This window comes from Homo sapiens, chromosome 9, assembly GCF_000001405.40.
Source record: "Homo sapiens chromosome 9, GRCh38.p14 Primary Assembly".
In the NCBI taxonomy this organism is placed as follows: domain Eukaryota; kingdom Metazoa; phylum Chordata; class Mammalia; order Primates; family Hominidae; genus Homo; species Homo sapiens.
Window position 1 is genome coordinate 124,457,158 of NC_000009.12, and position 23,941 is coordinate 124,481,098.

A 23,941-nucleotide genomic window follows, 5' to 3' on the forward strand; every position below is an offset into this window, starting at 1 on the left:
TAGCCTGAATGGGGGTGCACCTGTGGTGAAGCTTCAGGTACAAACACGTGTCCTTCGGGTACCCACCAGTTTCTGGTGACTCATCAATATTCAGGTCCTGCCTCGCGGTGACCGCCCCTCCTTCTCAGTGACCCCCTTCCCCTGGAATTGGAAAAGTCAGATTTGCCTTGGGCAAGTTGCTGAACCTCTCTGAGCAGGAATGGTGGCCTCCTAGGCCTATGGCAGGAAGGAGGGATCCAGACCCTGCTAGCTGGGCCTGCTCAGCAGAAAGACCTCACTCCGAGGTCCAGCCACCCAGCCCCATTTACCCCCAGGCCTGGAGGTGCGGAGCTTACGCTTGAGGGAGGCCAGCACGAGGGGCTGCTTATTCACAATGCCTGGTGGGCGTCCAGAGGGGCCCGGCCATATCCACATTCCTGCGAGTGAAGTGAGGCGACTCCTCAGGAAAGGTGGGTGAGGATGAGGGGGTGTCCAGAGCCCTGTTGGGTTCTGGGTCAAACCTCAGCTCTAACTGTCGCTAGCTGTGCTACTCATCTTTCAGATCCTCAGTTTGCTCGTCTGTAAAATGGGCACATTACTACTTGCCTTGTGGCTTATGAGGTTAAAAGCACCCACCACAGAGTGGTGTTCACTTACTCTCCTCCACCGAACCACACACATCTTCCCTCGGGAGTGGGTGGTGGAGGAAGATCCCCTATGCTTGATGCCATGCAGGGGTGGGGGATTAGGGCAAGGGGCAAAGGGCCTTGGAGTTGTGAGGTTCAGCACATGGACTGTGGCTGCTTGGAATTTTGGCTCTTCCACTTCTTAGCTGTGTGATCTTAGGGAAGTCAGTTTACCTCTCTGAGCCTCAGTTTCCCTATCTCTAGAGTGGGGAGAGCATCACCCTCGGGGCCAACTGGTGGTGCTTGCCCAGCCACCGGGTGGTGCCTTGGTGCCCCTTCCTCTCAGCCAGGCCTCTCTGGAGTCACCGTGATCCACAGCTGGTTCACCTCCAGAGTCTTCCAGCACACCCTAGAGGGACCGGACCTAGAGCCCCAGGCCCCTGCCAGCTCAGAGGAGGCAAACAGGGTGCAGAGGTGAGTAGGCGCCACCTGGAGGGCTGTGAGGGCCTGTGTCCCCTCCCCAAGGAAGGCCAAAGCCCCCGTTCTGGTGGGCGCATGTGTCCTTAGCAGCCCAGGGCCCACCCTTTCCCACCCCTGCCCAACACACACACACTTCTGCACCTGCCAGAGGTGAACACGGCTCAACTCCTGTCTGGGGTTCTGGCTTCTGTGTTGGGACTTACCCAAGTTACCAGCAAGTCCCTAAGGCAAGACTGAACCAGGTGCCACAATTCCTGATATCCCTTCGGACACAGAGGCTGCCACCTCCACCGTAGGGGCCTGGGTGACATGCCGCAGCCAGGCACCATCCCTCCTCCACAGCCACCCTTGAAAGCTCCCATTCTTCCCACAGGTTCCTAAGCACCCAGGTGGGGTCAGCCATCATCTCCTCTGAAGTGTGGGACGTCACTGGAGAGGTCAACGTGGCCATGACCTTTCATCTCCAGCACCGGGCCCAGGTACTGGGTGGCGCTTCTGGGAAGCAGCCATCCTGGCGCACGTGTCCTGGTTCAGTTCCCCCAACCCCCAGTATTTATCCAATGGACAACCAAGGCCTAATAATGCACACAAAAGGTACCTGCAAGCCACCTCCATTGTCCTCAAGGGAATGGGAAGGGAAGCGATTGACTGCAGGGTCACCTTATGGCAGGTGCCACAGATACGCAGCCTTCGTTTAATCCTCCAACCGCGCACTTCATCCAAAGCTTGGGAGGGCTGACGTGATTGGCCCCAGCTTGTAAGTGGCAGAGCTGGGATTTCATTCTACGTCTGCATAACTTGAAAACCTGTTAGTTCCCATGGAGTCATTCACTGCAGCATGTGCAGTGAATTCATTCATTCACTCACTGCAGTGTGTGTACAGGGGCCTTCACATATGAATGCGCTTCATACAAATAAAAATAACCTAAATGTCCATCAGTAGGGGACTACTTTAAATGTTTTGTAGGTCCGGGCACGGTGGCTTACGCCTGTAATCCCAGCACTTTGGGAGGCCGAGGCGGGCGGATCACTTGAGGTCAGGAGTTCGAAACCAGCCTGGTCAACATGGTGAAACCCCATCTCTACTAAAAATACACAAAAGTTAGCCAGGCATGGTGGTACACACTTGTAGTCCCAGCTACTAGGGAGGCTGAGGCAAGAGAACCGCCTGAACCCAGGAGGCGGAGGTTGTAGTGAGCCGAAATCACACCACTGCCCTCCAGCCTGGGTGACAGAACAAGACTCTGTCTCAAAAAAAAAAAAAAGTTTTGTAGATATATATGGTCAGCCCTCCATATGGGAGGGTTTCGCCACCAAGGATTCAAGCAACCATGGGTGGAAAATATTCAGAAAAAATAGCATCTGTACTGAACATCTATAGACTTTTATTTTGGGGGTCATAAACAAGACAGTATAACAGCTATTTATATATTTATATTTTATTTCCTAAGCAAGACAGTATAACAGCTATTTATATAGCATTTAAGTTGTATTAGGTATTACAAGTAATCTAGAGATGACTTAAAGTATACAGGAGCATGTGTTTAGGTTATATGCAAATACCATGCCATTTTATATAAAAAACTTGAGCCTCAGCAGGTTTTGGCATCCTTGGGGGTCCTGGAACCAATCTCCCGCAGGTAATAGGGACCAAGTGTGCAATGGAATAGTCAACTGAAAGTTATATAGGGATTGAGGTATTTCTCTATAAACTGACGTGGAAAGATCTCCAAGATATGTTAAATTTCATTTCACGCTTAATACACAAATTTCTTCTCCCTTCTGAAACACTAGAATGTTTCAGAGAAAGCAAGTCTTCTTTGCTCACAACCAGTAATCTTGGACACACACACACACACACACACACACCAACCACAGCTTATCACTCTCTTGTATATATCGTCAGAATGGGGCTGCGGGTGGATTGTTCATGATGTGGAAAAGCGTCCACGCTCTGATTTTTTTTTTTTTTTTTTTGAGACTGAGTCTCACTCTGTCACCCAGGCTGGAGTGCAAGTGGCACAATCTCAGCTCACTGCAACCTCCGCCCCCCGGGTCCAAGCCATTCTCCTGCCTCAGCCTCCTGAGTAGCTGGGACTACAGGCATGCGCTACCATGTCCAGCTAATTTTGTATATATATATATATTTTTTTTTAGTAGAGATGGGGTTTCTCCATGTTGATCAGGCTGGTCTTGAACTCCCTACCTCAGGTGATCTGCCTGCCTCGGCCTCCCAAAGTGCTGGGATTACAGGTGTGAGCCACCACACCTGGCCCTGTGTCTGTCTTTTCTAGCATTTCATGTAAATGGAATCATCTAGTATGTGTTGAGGCCTGGCTTTTGCTCAGGTCTCATTGGTGAGAATCATTCATGTTGTTGCACATTTCAATAGCTCATTCCTTTTTCACTGCTGAGTAGTACTGAGGTATATGGATGTACCATGATTTGTTTTTCCATTTACCTGCTGACAGAGATTTGACTTGTTTTCAGTTTGGGCTATTATGAATAAGTCTGCTATGAACACTCATATACAAGTCTTTTTGTGGATAAATGATTTCTCTTTACTAGGTAGATTCCTGAAAGTAGACTTGCTGAGTTGTAGGATAAGCATATTTTAACTTCCTAAGAGACTGTCAAACTGTTCCCCAAAGTGGTTGAACCATTTTTACATTCCCACTAGCAGCATTGGAGAGTTCCAGTTGCTCCACACCTCTGCCAACATCCTTGTCAGTGTTTTTAATGTCATTCATTATAATAGTCATGTATTGCTATCTCATTGTGGATTTAAGCTGCAATTCCTTGAAAACCAATGACTCTGGGCATCTCTTTATACACTTATTAAGCAGTCATATATCTTCCTTTCTTAAATGCATCTTCAAATCTTTTCCCCAATTTTTAAATTATTTATTTTATTATTGAGTTGTAAGAATTCTTTATATATTTTGGATACAAGTCCTTTGTTAGAGATATGTCTTGTGAATAATTTCCGCTAGTCTGTGGCTTGCTTTTTGTTTTCTTAACAGTATCTTTGGAAGATAAGTTTTTAATTGTGATGAAGTCCAATTTATCAATTTTTGTCTTGCATAGCTCATGCTTTTTGTATACTATCTAAGAAAGCTTTGCCAATCCCAAGGTCACAAAGATATTCTCAAAGAAGTTTATCACTTTAACTTTTACATGTAGGTGTATGATGTATTTCAACTTAAGTTCTATATATTATGAAGGTAAAAAGGTTGAAGTTCATTTTTTTCCATATAGACAACCAGTTCCAATACTATTTGTTGAAAAGATTATTCTTTGCTCCCATTGAATTTTCTTGTCACCTTTGTTGAAATCAATTGTCTGCATATGTGTAGATCTATTTCTGGGCTGTGTGTTCTGTTCTAGTGATTTATATGCCTATCCCTATGTTAATTTCTTACTGTCCTGATTAATGTGCCTGTATAGTAAGCCTTGAAATCAGGTAGTGTATCTTCCAACTTTGTTTTTTTTTTTTAATTTGTTTTTTGTTTTTTGTTTTTTTGAGATGGAGTCTCACTCTGTCACCCAGGCTAGAGTACAGTGGTACGATCTCGGCTCACTGCAACTTCCACCTCCCGCGTTCAAGTGATTTTCCTGCCCCAGCCTACAGTAGCTGAGATTATAGGCACATGCCATCACGCCTCATCAATTTTTTGTATTTTTAGTAGAGACGGGGTTTCACCATGTTGGCCAGGCTGGTCTCGAACTCCTGACCTCAAGTGAGCCATCTGCCTCAGCCTTCCAAAGTGCTGGGATTACAGGTGTGAGCCACGGTGCCTGGCCTAACTTTGTTCTTTTTCTTTTCTTTTTTTGAGACAGGGTCTCATTTTGTTGCCCAGGCTGGAGTACAGTGGTACGAACACGGCTCACTGTAGGTTCGACCTCCCTGGCTCAAGCGATCCTCCTCCCACCTCAGCCCCAGCCCCTCAAGTAGCTGGGATTACAGGCGATCTACCATGCCTGGCTAATTTTTTTTTTCTCTTTTTGTAGAGACAGGATTTTTCCATGTTGCCCAGGCTGGTCTCAAACTCCTGGACTCAAGCAATCCACCTGCCTTAGCCTCCCAAAGTGCTGGGATTACAGGCACGAGCTACCACACCCAGCCTTGTTCTTTTTCAAAATTACTTTGGCTATTCTAGATTCTTTGCATTTCCATATAGATTTTAGAATCAGCTCATAAATGTCTATAGAAAACCTACTAGTATTTTCATTAACATCGCATTGACTGTGTATATCAATTTGGGAGAACTGGCATCTTTCAATTCATTATCAAGATATAGCTTTCCATTTATTTAGGGTTTTTACATTTTTTTCTCAGTGATGTATACCTTTCAGTGCACAGATCTTAGAGACATTTTGTTAAATATATGCCTAAGTATTACATAAGTTTTGGATATTACCGGAAATGATATTGTTTTCTTAATTTTAAACTGTTCATTGCTAGTATATAGTAATATAATTGATTTATACAATGATATTATATTCTGCAACCTTGCCAAACTCACTTAGTACTTGCAGTAGCTCTTTTCTGGAACCTCTAGGATTTTCTACACACTTGCTCATGTTGTCTGCCAATAAAGGCAGTTTTTGTTTCTCCTTTCCAATCCATGTCTTCCTTTCTTCCTTCCTTCCTTTCTTCCTTCCTTCCTTCCTGACTTTCTCTCTCTCTCTTTCTCTCTCTCTCCTTCCTTCCTTCATTCCTTCCTTTCTTTCCTCCCTTTTGTTTCTTTCTTTTTCTTCCCTTGTTGCACCAGCTAGGATCTCTGGATCAATGTTGAATTGGAGTGGTGAGGTCAGGCATCCTTGTCTCATTCTTTGTCTTAGAAGGAAGGCATCCAGACTTTCACCACTAAATGCGATGTTTGGGCTTTTTGTAGATGTCCATCAAATCAAGTTCCCTTCTCTTCCTGGTTTGCTGAGAATTTTTATCATGAATGGCTTTTGAATTTTGTCAGATGTTTCTTGCATGTTGATATGATCATATGGGTTTCTCATTTATTTCCTTAATCTAGTAAATTGCACTGACTGATTTTCAAGTGTTAAACCAACCTTGGATTCCTGAGATCAGTGTAATTTGTTTATGGTGTATTATCTTTTATATATATTGCTGGATTCAATTAGCTAGTATTTTGTTGAGGATTTTTATGTTTATGTTCATGAATAATGTGTTCTGTAGTTTCTTGTACTCTCTTCCTCTGGTTTGGGTGTCAGATTAATGCTGGCCTCATAAAATGAGTTGGGAAGAGAAGAGTTCTGTCCTCCTCTGTGAATGTTTGATCAGCTTCTCCAGTGAATTCCTCTGGACCTCGTGTGTTCTTTGTGGAAAGATTTTTAATTGTGTGTTCTGTTTCTTTGATTGATATAGGTTATTTGGGTGTTTTATTTCTTCTTGAGATGGTTTGGTAATTTGCGCCTTTCAAAGAATGTGTCCATTTCATCCAGGTTGTCAAATTTCTAGCACAGATTTGCTTATAATATTTCCTTTTCACATCTGTAGACTCTACAGTGATGTTTTCTTTTTCATTCTTGGCCAGTCTAGCTAGAACTTTACAATTTTGCTTATATTTTTATTTTTATTATTTATTTATTTTTGAGACAGTCTCTCCCTCTGTTGCCCAGGCTGGAGTGCGGTGGCACCATCACAGCTCACTGCGGCCTCGACCTCCTGGGATCAAGCGATCCTTCCAGCTCACCCTCCCAAGTAGGTGGTACTGCAGGTCCATACCACCACGCCTGGCTAATTTTATTTTGTATTTTTCAGAGATAGGATCTCACTTTGTTGTCTAGGCTGGTCTCAAACTCCTGGGCCCAAGTGATCCTCCTGCCTCAGCCTCCCAAAGTGAGCCACCACGCCCAGCCTTGTTTAATATTCTAAAGGATGAATTTTTGAGATTATATTTATATACTAATAATTTAAAATACATTAAAATAAAAATAAATAAAAGTGATGTGTTACTCATTGTGACACATTCAGAAAATATAGAAAAGGATAAAGACAAAATTGTATTACTCAGAGATAACCGCTATGAACATTTTGGTGCATTTTACTTAAGCTGTTTTCTGGGCACATAACACTATATATATTTCTTTCCTTTTGCAAAATGAAAGCCCTTGCTCTTTCAGCAGAGCCATGCAAAGCATGGCGCTGCGTAATCTCGAGCAGGTTAACCCTCCTTTCTGAGCCTCAGTTTCCTCATCTGAAATTGCATGAATTTATAGCTGTCTCTTAGGTTGCTATGAAGATCAGCTACAATAAAGGACATGAAAGTGCTTGGCAAGACACAAAGGGAGGTGTCATTACCATCACCCTCCCCAGTCAGGACAGATGGCCCAAGTCCCAAGCTCAGGCTACCTTCCCTACCTAGACTGGGGCTCGTACCACTGGCCACCTGATATGTCTTCACTGCTTAATGACATGTTATAAAATCTATATTTTTGTCATTGTTTAATTACAAAAGAACTAACACATTCATCATAACACATTCAACCCAGACCTAACTACTGTTAAGTTCACTGCATGTTTGCTCCCACACATGCTGTGTGTGTACGTGTGTGTGTATGTGTTTTCACAAGTATGCAGACCTTAATTTTTCACATAAATGGGCTTATATCATGCCCAATGTTGTGAATTCTTCCTTTACTGAACAAAGTATCACGGAGATCTTTCACATCAGTAGCCAGAGGCCTGTGTGTTCATCTTACCAGAGGCAGTGTCCCAAGGAGAGGAGAGGCGCAGTTGCTTAACTGCTCCCCGGTGATGGCTGCTTAGCTTGTTCCCAGTTTTTCCACCTTCCACACCATGCTGGAATGACAGCCTGCACTCTCCTCCCTCTGCCTCCCCTCTGCCCCTTCACCTGTGACGCATGGTGGGCAATCCCCTGGTCCCTAAAATGCAGAGTCCTTGGCGTCCCTCCATCCTCCTGGTCTCTCTCCTTTCCCATCCACACTCACAACTGCCCCATGCCCCTCAATCCACGCTCATGCACCTGCCCTGTCTCTGTCTCCTGCCTCCAGACCTTCCGTCATAAGCTGGTGGAGCCTGTCTGTGCTTTCTGGAACTACAGTATCAGATGAGTTTCCATTTCCAGGTTCTTTTTTTTTTTTTTGAGATGGAGTCTTGCTCTGTTGCCTAGGCTGGAGTTCAATAGCACAATCTTGGCTCAATACAACCTCCATCTCCCGGGTTCAAGCAATTCTCCTGTCTCAGCCTCCCGAGTAGCTGAGATTACAGGCGCCCGCCATCACGCCCAACTAATTTTTGTATTTTTAGTAGAGACAGGGTTTTGCCATGATGGCCAGGCTGGTCTCGAACTCCTGACCTCAGGTGATCCACCCACCTCAGCCTCCCAAAGTGCTAGGATTACAGGTGTGAACCACCAAACCCAGCCGTTAAGATGATTTTTTTAAAAATATGTCCACTCTGCTTGGGGATGAGGCAAGACTTACACATGGTTTTGACCTCTGTTCACCATCTGCCTTTCAGGGTGACTCCAGGCTCCTCCCAGCTCTAAGACAAGCTGCAGCGGGAGGATGTGTTACCCAGGGGGTAGTGAGCTCCTTGTCATAGGAGTATGTGAAGGAGGAAGCACTCACTCTGTGAGGTGCCTAGGAAGAGAATCATCTGTCAAATTGGCGTTGAACTTGATCTATCTGAGGCCGGGGCCCTTGGACTCTTGAAGGAGCAGAGCAGGCTCCAGGGATTATCCTGGCTCCCTGCCCTGGATCTTTAGCTGAGGTAGGGAACCTTGGTCCCAGTGGCTCAGTAATTAATTAAGTTGATAAATGACAGTCACTGGGATCAGCCCTGCCCTCCTACCATCCTAAGAATGTCAAGCACATTTTACAGGTGAAAAACTGAGACCCAGGAAGGGGCGGTGACTCGCCAAGGTCACCTAGCTGGTTAGAGGCAGGGCAGTGACAGGCCCCAGGCTCTGGGGAAAGCCTTTCCCCTGCTTGCTTCTGGCCCCTCACCCCCTTGTCCACCTTATCTCAAGAGCCCCCTGTTCCCTCCCCATCCCCCAAGCCCATATACAGGGGGTGCCTGGGCCACCACAGGCTGCTCCGTGGCTGCCCTGTACCTGGACTCCACCGCCTGCTTCTGCAACCACAGCACCAGCTTTGCCATCCTGCTGCAAATCTATGAAGTACAGGTGAGTGCACGGTGGGAGGGGGGTGTCAGGAGGGGGCTTCTTAGCTGGAGGTGAAGAGAAGAGCCAATAGGTAGCCAGAAGAAGCATCTGAGGGATGCCAGCTTTCATAGATTGTCGGGGACAGGGCTGCATGCAGTAGTTCATGCCTGTTGTCCCAGCACTTTGGGCGGCTGATCACTTGAGCCCAGGAGTTCAAGACCAGCCTGGGCAACATGGCAAAACCCCGTCTCTACCAAAAATGCAAAAATTAGCCAGGTGTGGTGGCTCGTGCCTATAGTCCCAACTATTCAGGAGGCTGAGGCAGGAGGATTGCTTGAGCCCAGGAAGTCGAGGCTGCAGTGAGCCAAGGTCACACCACTGCACTCCAGCCTGGGTGACAGAGCAAAAACCTGTCTAAAAATAAATGAGTAAATAATAAATTGTAAAAAAAATTGTTGGGGGAAAACTCTAAGAGGATGTCAGGAGGGGTCGGATTCACTGGAGCTGGAAAGGGCCCCGGAGTGGTTACTTGCTGAGAAGTCAGGTGAGATGGGACGTGAGCCTCAGGAACGCTGGGGTCACTACAAGGAACACCTTGTAGTGTTGAGGGGCACACTACAAAAACATGTTACCAAATGCATTTTTCCTGTAGAGTCAGGGCCAGGCACGGTGGCTCCCACCTGTAATCCGACCACTTTGGGAGGCCAAGGCAGGCGGATCATTTGAGGTCAGGACTTGGAGACCATCCTGGCCAACATGGTGAAACCCCATCTCTACTAAAAATACAAACATTAGCCGGGCATGGTGGCCCGTGCCTGTGGTCCCAGCTACTCGGGAGGCTGAGGCACAAGAATCACTTGAACCCAGGAGGCGGAGGTTGCAGTGAGCTGTGAGCTGAGATTGCGCCACTTGCTCTCCAGCCTGGGTGACAGACTGTCTTGAAGCAACAAAAAAAAAAAAAAAAAAAAAAAAGTCAGAGCGTGGACACTTTTCCACATCATGAGTATCATCCGCAGCCCCATTCTGATGATACTCCATGGTCCCCGGGATCCCTCCCCGTGGGCACGTTTGTCAGCACTCTTAGTAATTGTCCAGTTGGTAGAATCCGGGCCAGTTGGGGTCAGTCTAGGGAGAGCCAGCAGGAGAGAAGGACATGCTCACACCTGCTTATTAAATGCCTACTGTGTGCAGGCCTGGGTCCTGCTGGCTGCTGCTGCACTGTGGAGGCGAATGCGGCGTGGGGGGCCTTAGAGTCACCAGGTGGGGCGAGTTCTGGCCTGGGTTGGGTCTGGGTGGTGCCAGGGGGGTTTCTCTGTCCCTCCACACAGAGAGGCCCTGAGGAGGAGTCGCTGCTGAGGACTCTGTCATTTGTGGGCTGTGGCGTGTCCTTCTGCGCCCTCACCACCACCTTCTTGCTCTTCCTGGTGGCCGGGTGAGGAGAGTTCACCACTGTAGCCTGGTGGCCTGGGCCCTCCCGCCTCGCTCAGGCCTCCATGTCCCCATTGGTCGGGTGTCCATCCTTGGTCCCAGCAGAACCTTGGTCTGAGCCTCTCCTTAGGATGTGCTGGGTCCCCTGTGGAGCTGCTCTCTTTCCCTCCATCTGCCCAGGCACAGGGGATCGGGCAGGACAGGGCCCTACGGGGTGTGGGGACCAGCAGTGGTGTTCTTGTTAACTGACTCCTCTGTCCTCTCCAGGGTCCCCAAGTCAGAGCGAACCACAGTCCACAAGAACCTCACCTTCTCCCTGGCCTCTGCCGAGGGCTTCCTCATGACCAGCGAGTGGGCCAAGGCCAATGAGGTGGGCAGCCAGTGGGTGGGCTGGAAGCCCGGGGAAGCCTGGGAAAGTGCCTGTGGGCTTTTCTAGGGTGACCCCCTGCCCCCAACTATTTTCACATGGCTCCACTTCCCTGGGGAGGAGCAGGGCCCGGGGAGGAGCAGGGCCCCGGGAGGAAAGGGCCCTGGGAGGAAAGGCCCCGAATGGTGGAGCGGGGCCCAGGCTGCTACCCAGAGGCCTCACCCACTGAGACTTCTTTGGGTTGGCAAGGCCGGGCTGGGCATGGGCCGCGGGGCTGGCCTGCACCTGCGTCTGACCTCGGACCTGGGTGGGGATCCTGACCCTCCCACAGGTGGCATGTGTGGCTGTCACAGTCGCAATGCACTTCCTCTTTCTGGTGGCATTCTCCTGGATGCTGGTGGAGGGGCTGCTGCTGTGGAGGAAGGTGGTAGCTGTGAGCATGCACCCGGGCCCAGGCATGCGGCTCTACCACGCCACAGGCTGGGGTGAGGCCTGCTCTGCACCCACACTCTCTTCTCCTCAGCTGTACCTTGCACGGCCGACCCTGCCATCTAACATGGCCCCACACCCAGCACTCAGCACCCAGCACCACTCAGCATCCGGCATTTAGCGTCACCCAGAACCCAGCACCACCCAGCCAGTCCCATCTCTGACATGACCTCAATTTCCTCAGTTCTATTAACCTCCAATTTACCCATCCCCATTCCTCATAATCCTTCTCCACTTTACAGCCTCCCCTCTCCATCCGCAGTGCTATCTCCCCAAATCTGTAGCCAGCCAGTTGCCCAGCCTCCGTCTCCAGAGACGCCCAGCTGTAGCCTCCAAAGCAGCCTCAGCTCTCCCGACTCCCAAACTACTGTGGCTCCAATGCCACCCCAACAGCATCAGAGCCCCCAGCCCTGCTCCTTGGACCTCCCCAGTGCCCCCAGTACAACCTCCAGTAGGGGACAGCTGCGGCTTGGGGGGCGGATCCTGGGTCCTGGAGAGGAAAAAGCAGGTGACCCAGCCTTGAGGCCCCCTTCTCCCTCTCCCAGGCGTGCCTGTGGGCATCGTGGCGGTCACCCTGGCCATGCTCCCCCATGACTACGTGGCCCCCGGACATTGCTGGCTCAATGTGCACACAAATGCCATCTGGGCCTTCGTGGGGCCTGTGCTCTTCGTGCTGACTGTGAGCTGGGGACCTGCAGGGGAGGGGCGTGTTGGGGATGGGGAAGTCCTCTTGCCCACTGACCCCAGGTCTCCAGGCCAACACCTGCATCCTGGCCCGTGTGGTAATGATCACCGTGTCCAGTGCCCGCCGCCGTGCCCGCATGTTGAGCCCACAGCCCTGCCTGCAGCAGCAGATCTGGACCCAGATATGGTGAGGCCCCAGAATGGGGGGCCAGCAGGAAGCAGGAAGTGCACAGTCAGCCGGCGCCAGGCGTGAGGCTCACTGGGCGAGAGCACGTGCGAGTCTGTGTCCAGAGCGTGACCGTGTGGCTATGCCCAAGTCTGTATTGAGTATGTGGGTACACACGTGTCCCTGCATCTGTGTCACACATGCTTGGGCATGTCAACATGTGTCAACATGCACCCATGCGTGTCACATGTGGGGATGGTCACTGATCCGTTTGAGGGAGCTGTGGACACTGGCCACTGTTCAAGGAGTGCACTGTCTGCGGCAGGTACTGATAGCCTGCAGGAGACAAAGTAGGGGAGACCCTCAAATCAGGGTTAGCCCCAGAAGTTCAGGGTTAGCTCCAGAAGTTCAGGTTCAGGGTAAGGACCTGGGTCCCTGTTCCTGCCAAAGACCCGCATCGCCCTCTGGGGTCACACTCTGGGAGAGAGAGGGACCCCACCGGCCTTTCCCAGCCCTGCCTCCTTGCTGGCTTTCCCCTTCCCCACCCATCCTCCACCAAGCACAGGCCAGCCTAAGCTGGGAGGGGGTCCCTGAAAAGCCAGGGAACCCCAGGGCCCTTGGAGAGGGAGAAGGGAGTCCTTCTAACCCCATCCCTGCTGGTCCCACTGCTCAGGCCTCAGCCCCCACTCTGGACAACTACCACCCCATTCCTTCCAGCCAGGTTGGGGGCTGGGACCCCATCTCCCAAGTGCCGCTACCCTACTTCATGCCACCTCTGTCTCTGAGAACAGGGGGGGCAACAAAGTCCAGTCAAAGGTTCTGGCTCCCTCTAAGTCCTGCTGAGCCATGGTCCCGGCCCTCAGCTCCCACCCCGCTCCAGGCACGTACAGGTGCTGCTCTCCCTGGAGCCCTGCGGGGAGCTCCCCAGGCCTCCCAACCCCCGTCAGCCCTGCCTGCCCTCCTACAGGGCCACGGTGAAGCCCGTGCTGGTCCTGCTGCCCGTCCTAGGCCTGACCTGGCTGGCAGGCATCCTGGTGCACCTGAGCCCCGCCTGGGCCTACGCTGCCGTGGGCCTCAACTCCATCCAGGTACCTCCAGCCCCAACCTTCTGGGACTAGGCCCTGACATGCACGAAAGCTCAGAGGGGACGACTAGGGTGTCAGGGCCTGGGAGGGTGAGCTCTCCATCATGGGAGACATTCAACAGCAACTGGGACATCCTATCTAAGAAGGGGTTTTGAGGGTGGCAGTGGGAACAGGCAACCTCCAATCAACCAGCGGTTCGTGCAGGAGGCTCACGGGGCCCCTCTGCCAGCTGGGAAGGCTGAGACCCAGAAAGAGGGTGTTAAGGCTCACTGTGCTTGGACACTCAGGGTCCGGCAGAAATTCCAGCCCCTTGGCCAGTGCCAGAGCCACTTAGTTCTTGCCAGAAAGCTGGGGAGGGGACACAGGGCATCAGTCACCTCCCCCTTGGGGTCTGCGGCCTGCTGGGATAGCAGTTTAGAAGAGGGTTTGGTGAGGAGGCCAGTTCATGAGGCCACAGGAAAGGGCCCGGGCTTCCCGGGTCTCTTGGGGCCTGTGTGCTAGAACCACAGGGAGAGGGCCAACTAGGTCCCTCTCGGGGGATTGGCAGGTCTGTGGGGGGCCAGAACATTAACTGAAGTGACAGCCAGGGGGCTGGGTGCTGGGAGTCAGGGAGGCCCTTCCTGGCCCCTCGTTTTCCCTCGACCTCCCTGGACCACCCCCCAGGCACCTCTCCCTGTCACCTGCACCTCCTGCTCCCTGCTTGCCCAGCCCGGGTCCCTCTCAGGGCCAAAAGGTGGGTGGGCAAGGGCCCAGGCTGGACTGTGCCAGGCTCAGGAAGTCAGGTGCGAACTCCACCCAGGGTCCATGTGTCCTCCAAGCTGGGGACCCTCCATCTTTTCCTTGAAGAAGGAGAGCCAAGGTGGTAACAGCCACTCACAGTGCCTGGGTGCTCCCTCTGAGCCCCAGGCCAGGCTCCTATTTGTATCTCCCAATAAGCCTTGTAAGTGGGGAAACTGAGACCTCATGAGGTCACTTGCCCAAGGCCCCCCAGGAGGCAGCAGCAGCGGGGGCACCACTCCAGAGTCTGCGTTCTCAGCCACAGGGCATCCAGCTATGACCACAGATGGGTCCTGGCTGGTCCCTGGGAGCATGCTTGGACCCAGTTACTCATTCATCCATGTGCTCTTCATGGCTCGCCCAGTGTGTGCCAGGCACTGTGCTGGGTGCCAGGCCGCAGCAGCAGAAGAGGCAGCAAAAAGCCCCTGTATTTGTGGAGCTGCCCTTGGTAGAGCAGGCAGACCATGGCCACGATGAAGAAATGAAGTGTTCAGTGAGGGGACGAGGCAGGAAGCCCTCTTCCAAGCCCCACGCCCCCCAGGGCTTCATGGCTGGGTTCAGTCTGGCTGGGCCCCTGGCGAGGCTTCTCCACCTGTCACACGGTGGGGCAGGTGGTGGCATCTTGTTGCCATGGCGATTCCTCCAGCTCTTTGCCAGGTGCCCCTCTCCACATCATAGGGGGTTGGATTCCTGATGCTCTCCATCCTCACCTGTGCCCCTCGGGTGGGCAGAGACACAGCCATGGGGCAATGCCACCGTCAGCCATGGGGCAATGCCACCGTCAGCCATGGGGCAATGCCACCGTCGCACCGTCTCAGATCCCTCCCTTCAGTTCTCATTCTTTCCTCTCTGTCCCAATCTTCATCTCTGAATCTTCTCTGGTTCTGTCTCTCAGGCTCCCCCTCTGTCACTGTCCCCCTCTCCCTGTGCCCTTCTCACCCTCTGGCCATGGATGTTTTTTCTGGCACTGACCCCACCTGGCTCTTCCTGGGCATGTCTTCATGTTTCTCCACTTCTCTCCTCAGTCTCTCTGACACTGGTTTGTTTTTTTGTTTGTTTGTTTGTTTGTTTTTTGTTTGTTTTTTGTTTTTGTTTTGTTTTTGTTTTTGTTTTGTTTTGTTTTGTTTTGTTTTTTGGAGATGGAGTCTCGCTCTGTCGCCCAGGCTGGAGTGCAGTGGCATGATCTTGGCTCACTGTAACCTCTGACTCCCAGGTTCAAGCGATTCTCCTGCCTCAGCCTCCTGAGTAGCTGGGATTACAGGCACCTGCCACCACGCCTGGATAATTTTCTTATTTTTAGTGGAGACGGGGGTCTCACCATGTTGCCCAGGTTGGTCTTGAACTCCTAACCTCAAGTGATCCTCCCGCCTCGGCCTCCCAAAGTGCTGGGATTACAGGCATGAGCCACCGCACCCAGCCCTCTGACACCAGTCTTTTTATCTCTGCCTCTCCATCTCCCTGTGCATGACACTCTCTTGTCTCTGCCTAAAGCAGCCTCAGATTACCCTTGGGACGGTCACCCGGTGAAGGCAAGGAGAGGCTGCCTTAGGCAGGAGCTCAAAAGGCAGGAGTGGGGTCTGGGCCCCGCCGCTGACAGTCACATGACCCTCTTAGGCTCAGAGCCCTGTTCTCTCAGTCAGTCCCTCTCCCCAGGCCCGGCCTTTCCCTTCACCTCTCCTTTGGTCTCTCCCTGTCTCTCTGTGTCCACCAAGGTCTCTCTGTGTTTTCCCCTCACACTCCACCTCCATCCCTGTCCCTCTCTCACTCTCCGTCAGTCTTGGGCATAAGCTAGGTACATCCCACTTTTAGGAGGGTGACCAAGTGACCAGGGAGGAGGCCTGGGACTCAGGGATGAGACTCTGCCCAACCTCATTCACTCTCTAGGAGTAATTTGTGTCCTTCTGGCCACTGTGCCGGGTTGTGTCAAGGGAGAGCAAAGCCTCACTTCTATAACCAGCCGTAGCTCACACTTGCCCTGGTGGACAGAGCCTTGTTGTGAGGCCTGGAGAAGTGGCACCAGGCCTCCGTTTCTACGTCTAACCAAAGGGGATCAGATTCCCACCCTCCTCATGGGATCATCGTGGAGTTCAGCTGACGTAACATTTGCCAAGGCTACGCACAATCCCTGGCACGTGCTAGGAGCCCCACGAGTGTGAGCTCATTTGTTTTGTTCAGTTGTTCAACACGCACTCCCCTAGCACCTCCCCATGCCAGGGCTGGCCTGCACGCTGGGGGACATGGAGATGCCCAGGGCCAAAGAATTCTGTGACATTCTCAGCCTGAGGGAGAGACAGACATCAAAGCCACACAACCACAGTGTGTCATGACTGAGGCCGAGAGACAAGGGGCCTTGGTCAAGGCAGTGTGGGGACAGAGGAACAACTCATCGGAGGCAGAATGGGCCACCTGGAGAGGGTCACTCTCAGCCAAGACCTGACGGCTGTATGGAGAGGCGGAAAAGAATGTTTTAAACCAGGGGAGGGGGCATGGTGGGGTCAAATGGTGGGGAGACATGAGGGGTAAGGCTGGCGAGAAATGGGGCAGGAGGGAGTGTGGGGGGCAGACAGAGTGGGGTCCTCAAAGCTGTTGTAAAGAGCTCAGACTTGGCCAGGTGTGGTGGCTCACGCCTGTAATCCCAGCACTTTGGGAGGCCGAGGCGGGTGGATTACCTAAGGTCAGGAGTTCGAGACCAGCCTGACCAATATGGTGAAACCCTGTCTCTACTAAATACAAAAAATTAGCTGGGTGTGGTGGCACATGCCTGTAGTCCCAGCTACTTGGGAGGCTGAGGAAGGAGAATCGCTTGAACCCAGGAGTTGGAGGTTGCAGTGAGCCGAAATTGTGCCATTGCACTCCAGCCTGGGCAATAAGAGTGAAAACTCTGTCTCAAAAAAAAAAAAAAAAAAAAAAGAGCTCAGATTTTGTCCCAGGGGTAGTTGGGAGCCATGCAGGGCGTCAGGCAGGTGCTGGTGTTCTTGGGTTCGCATTTGGAAAGATGCCTTTGGGTGGTAAGGAGTGGGTAGAAGGAAATGGGATGGAGAAGGCAGTGCAGAGGCTACAGAGAAAGATCAGGCTGGGCCTGGAGACCTGGGAGGCTTTGGGGTCTGTCTTGGAGAATGGGGGTGGTGGTATCATCTCAGTTGGTGCCTGGACACCAGGGGGACCAGTCAGGCTCTTGGACTCCAGCTTTCAGCCCTGGGAGGCTGGAAGGCCCCAAGGAATTCCAGGCCCCCACCTGTGTCCTCCCGCCTGGGCCGCAGCACAGAAGCAGCTGCCTGTGACACTGCCTAGGAGGGATCCCAGGACAGCCTCAGGGCTGGGCCACACTGGAGCTTAGGATCCATTCCTCTGCCCCCCACCCACAGCTCCTGGTCCCTCTCCATCAAATGGGGAGAATGAATCCACCCCCACCACAGACCTGCTGTTAGGGTCAAGTGAGAGACCAAATGTGATGGTGCAGGGAGGGTGGTGAGGCCCTCTTGGTCCCACGGTGTGGGGAGAGAGAGCCAGCTCCTCCCCAGCCACGGTGTGAGTCCCTCACAGGCAGCACCTCCCATCCCCTCAGAACCCAAGTCCCGGCCTCATCTCCCCTTTCCAGATGAAAAGACAGAGGCTCAGGGAGGTGAAGGCCACTCAGCTAGAGGCACAGTGAGAAGGCACTCACAGGGCTGTTGTCCCAGGACCTGACTTGGCCTTGGAGCCTCAGGAAGGTGTGCCCCTCCCAACCCCACCACATAGCATGGCGAGGCGGTGAGGATGGGACAGGCCCAGCGTGGGGCACAGAGGACTGGAGTCAGAGGCTGCCTGGTGAGCAGAAGCTGAAGGCTGGGGTTGCACTGGGCAAAGCCCCTTCTGGTCCCCTGGCCTGCTAAATGCCACAGCTACTCCTCCGCAGGCGGGCACGAGGGCAGGGCCGACTTCGTGCCCATCAGCCTGTCTCTGGGTATCTCTGCAAGTGTCTCTGCCACTGGGAGGCGCCGGGACCCCAGGCAAGGCCAGGCTGTGGGGGATGGGGTAGGAGGCTCCGGGCTGAGGCACTCGCTGGGTCTGTCCTCAGGGGCTGTACATCTTCCTGGTTTATGCTGCCTGCAATGAGGAGGTGAGTCTGGGGGTGCCGGCTGCAGGGAGAGGGGTCCAAGGGGTAGGGAGGGTCCCCAGCCTGACCTCCAAGTATTCCCCCAGGTGCGGAGCGCCCTGCAGAGGATGGCTGAGAAGAAGGTGGCCGAGGTGCTCAGGGCACTGGGGGTGTGGGTGGGGGCGGGAGGCCCCCAGAGCCAGGTCCCAGCCCCCATATCCTCTCCTTTAAGTCCCGTGCCAGCCCTGCCAGCTGGGGGACCAGCCTGAGGCCCCCAGGCCCCTGGGAGGCAGCCCGAGGGAGCCCCATAGCCTTGGCTCCACCCCGGAGACACGTGGCTCTCAGAGGTACTCGCAGCACCCAGGTGGGAGTGCCGCCCAGTGCCTCAGTTTCCCCAGCACTCAGGCAGAGCTGGGAGGACAAAAGCAGATCCTTTTAGCCCATCTGAAAAAAGGAAACCAGGGCCCAGGAAACTCTGCAGCCCTGCGGCTTGAGCAATGTCCTGTCACTCATTCCCCACTGCCAGGAAACCCGGGCTTCTGGGGCCTGGCCCACGCATGGGGCTTCTCCAGGGTGACCTTCCCTGGGGTTCCATGCAGAAGGGTTTGGGGGACTCCTGCAGATGGTGAGTAAATGGGGTCGGGGCTCTGAGGCAGGGCATGGGTTGAATGACTTCGAGGTCAGGCCAGGGGTTCCAATCCTAGCTCCCAGCCACCTCCTGTGTGCCCCTGGGCAAGTTCCCTTCCCTCTCTGGGCCTCATTACTAATCTGTGAGGTAAACCTTGGAGTGGATTCTTAGCGTATTTGATCCTGAGGGCCCCACTCCCAGGATGGGGGAGCAGAGAGAGGGCTTCCTGCCTTCGTCTCTCAAAAATTTGCCTTTTCCTCCCTAGGGACCTATGGCCCTAGAACTCCCTCAGCATTCTCCTCCATTGCAAACCCGGAGAGACAGGTGAGGCTGGGACAGGGTGGGCCGCACAGGGCTCTGCCAGGGGGCTGGCAAAGCCAGCAGGCAAAGTCGGGAAGCCACAGGGCCTGGGTAGGGCCGGGGTGGGGGCTTCCCGGGGATCTGTTTCTCTGTTCTTGGGCTGAAGGGCCCAGGGAGGGGGAGCTGCTGGCGGCAAGCTGGCAGAGGCCCCTATAGCCAAGGGTCCCCAGGGCAAGGGGCAGCAGAAGGAGTGGGGGCCACCCCCGTGACAGCCCCTCTGTCCTCAGGCTGTGGAACTGACAGCGTTCAAAGCTTCAGGTACAGTCCCCACCTCACGGGGTCCCCTCTTTTCTTTTTGGGCCTGGACACCCCCTAAGCCCCCCGTACCAGGATGGAAGTGATTTCAAATTAATACGCCCAACCTCCCGCAATTGCAGAGGCCCTCCCCTCACTCCACAGGTCCCCTGGGAGCACTGGGGGCCTGGCGGGGACCAGGCAGTACCCCTTGGGAGGACTTCATTAGAGAGTAGGTCATGGAACCCTATTCTGAGCGGGCGCTGCCAAGAGCACAACCTGCCTCCCTCTGTCCTCCCCTCTCTCTGCCCAGGGGGGCGCTGCCAAGGAGCACAGCCTGCCTTTCTCTGTCCTCCCCCTCTTTCTGCCCCCTAAGCCCAGCACCCCCCGTCACCCTCTGAAGGCCCCGGCCTGATGCCCTAGGATCCAGAGCCTTCCAAACCCGCTGAGGGAGAAGTGCTTTCCTCCAAGGCTGCGGGTCACCAGCTGGACAGCTGATGGGGGCATGACGGGGGCTGAGCAGTGGCAGGGTGGGTACTGTGGGAGGGTGAGGACACCCCAGCTCCGGCTCAGGGAGAGGACTGAAGCCTGGGGAGCTCAGCCGGGCCCAGGGGAGCCATGCGGACCCTGACCGCTGGCCGCCTCCCTGAGGGAGCACTCCATCTGAAACCCACACGCCTCAGCCTCCGCCAGGTGACTGTTTCCAGCGAAGGCAAGAGCGCTGTTCACCAGGCCCCTCCCAGGGGCAGGTTCAGTGCTCAGCCCAGGCACCCAGTGATTCTGATTCAGAGAGGGGGAGGGGGAGGTGCCTTTCTCCACCCATTGCGCGGATGAGGAAGTTGAGGCACAGAAAGGCGCAGCCGCTAGCCAGAGCCCGCACAGAGCCAGAGCCAGGTCCCCACTGGCGCAGATGGGGGACTGCAGGCACAGCAGTAGCCACGCGGGTGTAAACGTAGAGCCGCGTGAACCCGGGTTGTGGGATCCCAGGCCCCGACCAGCCCCCATCCCCGGCTGGCATCTCGGTCCCGGGGAGTCTCAGCTTCCCTTTCTGCAGAATGGGCTGGAGGCGCCCCCCACAGGCCCGCCCAGGCGCCCCCCGGGGCCAGCGCCCCTCCCCCACCTGCCCCGCCCCCACCCGCGGGCGCCGCGGCTGCAGGAACAAGAGAGCGGCGGCGCCTCTGCGCTCAAGTGACGGCGCCTTTGTCTCCGCTGAATGGGTGCGTTGCTAGGGCCGCTCGTAGCAACAGAGCAGCTTCCACCTGGGCCCCACCCTCCGGACCCCCCACCCGGCCCGGCTCTCCGGACGCCCCCGCTTCCAGCCCCGACCCCACCCCGCGGGCCACTCAGCGGCCCGAGCTGGAAGCGCGGGGCAGCGGAGGCTGCCGGGCTGTGTCCTTCGCGGGGCCGCCACCGCCCCTCCTGAAAGGCCGCGGAGCCCTCAGGGCATGCGGATGTTCCGAGGATGGAGAAGCTGAGACTCACAGCGAGGACGGGCCAGGGTCTCCCCAAGCCTCAGTTCCCAGAGCCCTTCCATCCCCGGGTTCTCCACCAGGATCCTCTGCCAGCCCAGCCCCAAGGGCGCACTTTCCCACCAGGTTTCTAGAGAGTGGCTGGGAAACTCGTCGCCAAACCCTGCCCAGCTCAGCTCTGCTGGGACCCCAGACCCCAGAACGGCGCAGCGGGAGTCCCTGAGCCCCAACAGCGGCCCCAGCTCCCGTGGCCTCAGCCTCTGGCTTTCCCTAAAGGACTGTGGGCCTCAGCCCCCTGTTCCCCTAGCCCACCAGGTCCCCAGGCTCTTTCCCCCAGTCTTTGCCTATCTGTGATCTGCTCCTTCCCCCATGCTCCGAAGTTCCAACGGGCTCTGCCGTGTCTGGTAATAAATAGGACTGTTGGGCTCTCCTGTCCTCTGGGAGTCGTCCTGGCCTGGGCAGAGGGAGGGGACGCCAGGCCCTCTGGGAGGAGGGAGGAAACCAGAGAAGCTGCCACTTGGCTTTGGGACTCCAGGGCCTCAGCCTCATCATCAGGGTAGGCGCAGCCAGCATTTATGAGCGCTTGCTGTATCCCTGGACGGTGCTGAGCCCTTTACCACCTTAGAGTCATGGATCCTCACCGCAGTCCTGAGCCGCCATCACTCCTGCTGTGCAGAGGAGGACACAGGCTCATACCACTCAGGCCTGGGGTCTCCCAGGCCCTGTAGCACAGGGGGCAGGGGTGACGGTTGGTGTGAGTGGGGGCCACCCAGGCAGACAGCTCACAGGTAAGTTGTGAGTCTGGATACCTCCAAGTCACACCATGGAACCAGGACCTGCTGCCACAGTTGTGTGGCTGTGGGCAAGGTCGTTCTGAATCTTGGTCTCTTCTCAGTAGAATGGGTTTCGGAGCAGGGAGGGGAGCAAGGATGTGAGGGCTCTGCACCAGGCCTGGTGCCAGGGTGGACCCCAAGGCTGGCGGCAGGGAAATGAGGGCCCAGACTCTGGGAGTGGGGGCACCCAGGCAGCCAACACTGTCCTGCCGATGCCAGCCTGGCTCACATCTTGCTGGGGCCAGGTGACAGGTGACACAGCATAGCCAGGACCTCCAAGCAGCTCCCGGGAGGTGGGGCAGGGCTGAGTGAGAAGCAGCCGAGACCCAGTGAGGCACGCACAGCTCCCAGAGGCCTCCAGCTTCCACGCTGGACCCTGCCTGGGTTGAGTCCGGGACAAAATCTGTCCAGGGTGCTGGCCCCACCCACACAGGTACAGGGCCCAGGTGCTTCTTGCTGAGGATGGCTGCGTAGCCTCACGATGCCCCATCCGTCTTCTGTCGAATGGGGGACATCATACTCACCCAGCGGGTCATGTGAGGGGTCCGCGCAGTCCTGCACTTGGTTCCTGGCACGGCCCTCAGCAAGCACTCAGAGTGTCAGCTGTGGCCCGAGACAGATGTTCGGGGCTGTGGGGGCCAGAGCCTGTGCCCCAGAGGACGTTCAAGGCCTTGAAGGCGCCAGGCTGGGGAGGCAGTCCAGAGAGAAGACAGCATGGCTCCGTGGGGCCAGCAGAGCCCCTGCCCTGTGCTGGGAACGCTGGGCCAAGTGCGGCACTCTATCCTCAGCGGGGACAGGAGGGGCGGGACGCTGAAGGGGCAGCAAGGAGGCAGGCAGGGCACTTGGTGGCCCCCCGACCACCTACATCTCAGCATCTTCACCTTCAACAGGCTCCTGTCTCCTCAAAAACCCATCATATGGGCTGTGGGGAAGGGGACAAAGGTGGGACCAAGGGGTCCTTTCCCATCCCCCACCTCCCTCCATTCCATATCCCTCTTGTCCCCTATACACACCCTCTCTTTACTCTCCAGCCAGAGTAACTTCTCCTAGATCCCCAGACACGGTGGCTGATACCCCTCCATCCTTCTGCTCACACTGTTCCCTCTGCCTGAACTGTCCCCAGCTCCTATCTAGCTGGTGAACTCCTGGGCATCCTTCAAAACCCAATTTGGATGACACCTCTGCTAAAAAGTATTCCTGTTCCCCAGACCCATCTCTCCCAGGAGCAGGGTCAATCACTTCCTCACCTTGTCTGTCTCAGGCATATATGCAGTATCACATCAGACTACAGTCTGGTTTAAGATAGTCTCCGCCTACAAGACTGGACATTGCCCAGGGCAGGAACTAAGGCATCTGCAGGTGCCAAGAAGAAGAGGGACACCTTTTTCTTTGCATAAAAGCCACTGCCAAACTGTGTGCCTAGGGCTGCATCACCTGAGAGGGAACACGTTTTTCTAATTTGCATGAAGCATCTGGAGGCCGGGGGTGACCCTGGAGAAGAACTAGTCAAGTTAGTCAAAATGGATCAGGACGATGGAGCTTTGTACCATGGCTGTGCCGCTTTTAGCTGTGTGACCTTTGGCAAGCTGCTTGGGCCCTCTGTGCCTCAGTTTCCTCATCTGTAACCTACAGAAGTGGCTTCAAAGAGCAGTCAGTGTGCCCAGATGAGGCGGGAAGCACTAAGCAGGGGGCCTGGAGTGGAGGAAGCCTCAGATGGCGGCGGTGCTCACTGCCGCCACCACGTGGGGCTGGGGAGGAACCTGTGAGGGACGTGGTGGGGCAGACAGGAAAGGGCAGGGCTCTGAGGGGTCTGGTCTCCCAGGTCTGTGGCTCATGGGCCCTTGGCAAGTGCCTTCCCCTCCTAGAGTATAACCCCTGCCTCACAGGGCTGCTGCGGGGACAGTGAGATGAGGGTGGCACACAGTAGGTGCCCCTTAAATGGCTGCTCCTTCTGCCCCAAGATGGGGGCTGAGCTGGCATGGCCAGCATGCAACAGGCAGAGAGGCTACAGCATCCCCCTGGCCTCCCAGTGCCTCAGGGTCCCAGGGATGAGGTGGGTCCCAAACCCCAACAGTGCCTGGTGTCCCCCCACCCGGCCCCGCCACCCACCT

The 23,941-nt window shown here is 54.6% G+C and overlaps 1 protein-coding gene across 2 annotated transcripts in view; it reads left to right on the forward strand.

Annotated features, from left to right (window-relative positions):
- Nucleotides 1-21,423, forward strand: part of ADGRD2 (adhesion G protein-coupled receptor D2) — a 28,130-nt gene extending 6,707 nt beyond the window's left edge. The window contains exons 11-25 of one of the 2 annotated variants that reach the window (NM_001395425.1): nucleotides 315-449; nucleotides 956-1,079; nucleotides 1,459-1,564; nucleotides 9,101-9,256; nucleotides 10,564-10,667; nucleotides 10,931-11,033; nucleotides 11,362-11,515; nucleotides 12,065-12,198; nucleotides 12,275-12,390; nucleotides 13,337-13,457; nucleotides 18,289-18,330; nucleotides 18,414-18,458; nucleotides 19,200-19,258; nucleotides 19,522-19,552; nucleotides 21,124-21,423. In NM_001395425.1, coding sequence (NP_001382354.1) covers nucleotides 315-449; nucleotides 956-1,079; nucleotides 1,459-1,564; nucleotides 9,101-9,256; nucleotides 10,564-10,667; nucleotides 10,931-11,033; nucleotides 11,362-11,515; nucleotides 12,065-12,198; nucleotides 12,275-12,390; nucleotides 13,337-13,457; nucleotides 18,289-18,330; nucleotides 18,414-18,458; nucleotides 19,200-19,258; nucleotides 19,522-19,534 — 1,412 coding nt within the window. In that variant the 3' untranslated portion in view covers nucleotides 19,535-19,552; nucleotides 21,124-21,423. Of the gene's footprint in view, nucleotides 1-314; nucleotides 450-955; nucleotides 1,080-1,458; nucleotides 1,565-9,100; nucleotides 9,257-10,563; nucleotides 10,668-10,930; nucleotides 11,034-11,361; nucleotides 11,516-12,064; nucleotides 12,199-12,274; nucleotides 12,391-13,336; nucleotides 13,458-18,288; nucleotides 18,331-18,413; nucleotides 18,459-19,199; nucleotides 19,259-19,521; nucleotides 19,553-19,904; nucleotides 20,639-21,123 lie in introns of those variants that run through there. The other variant, XM_047423339.1, reaches the window with a different exon arrangement.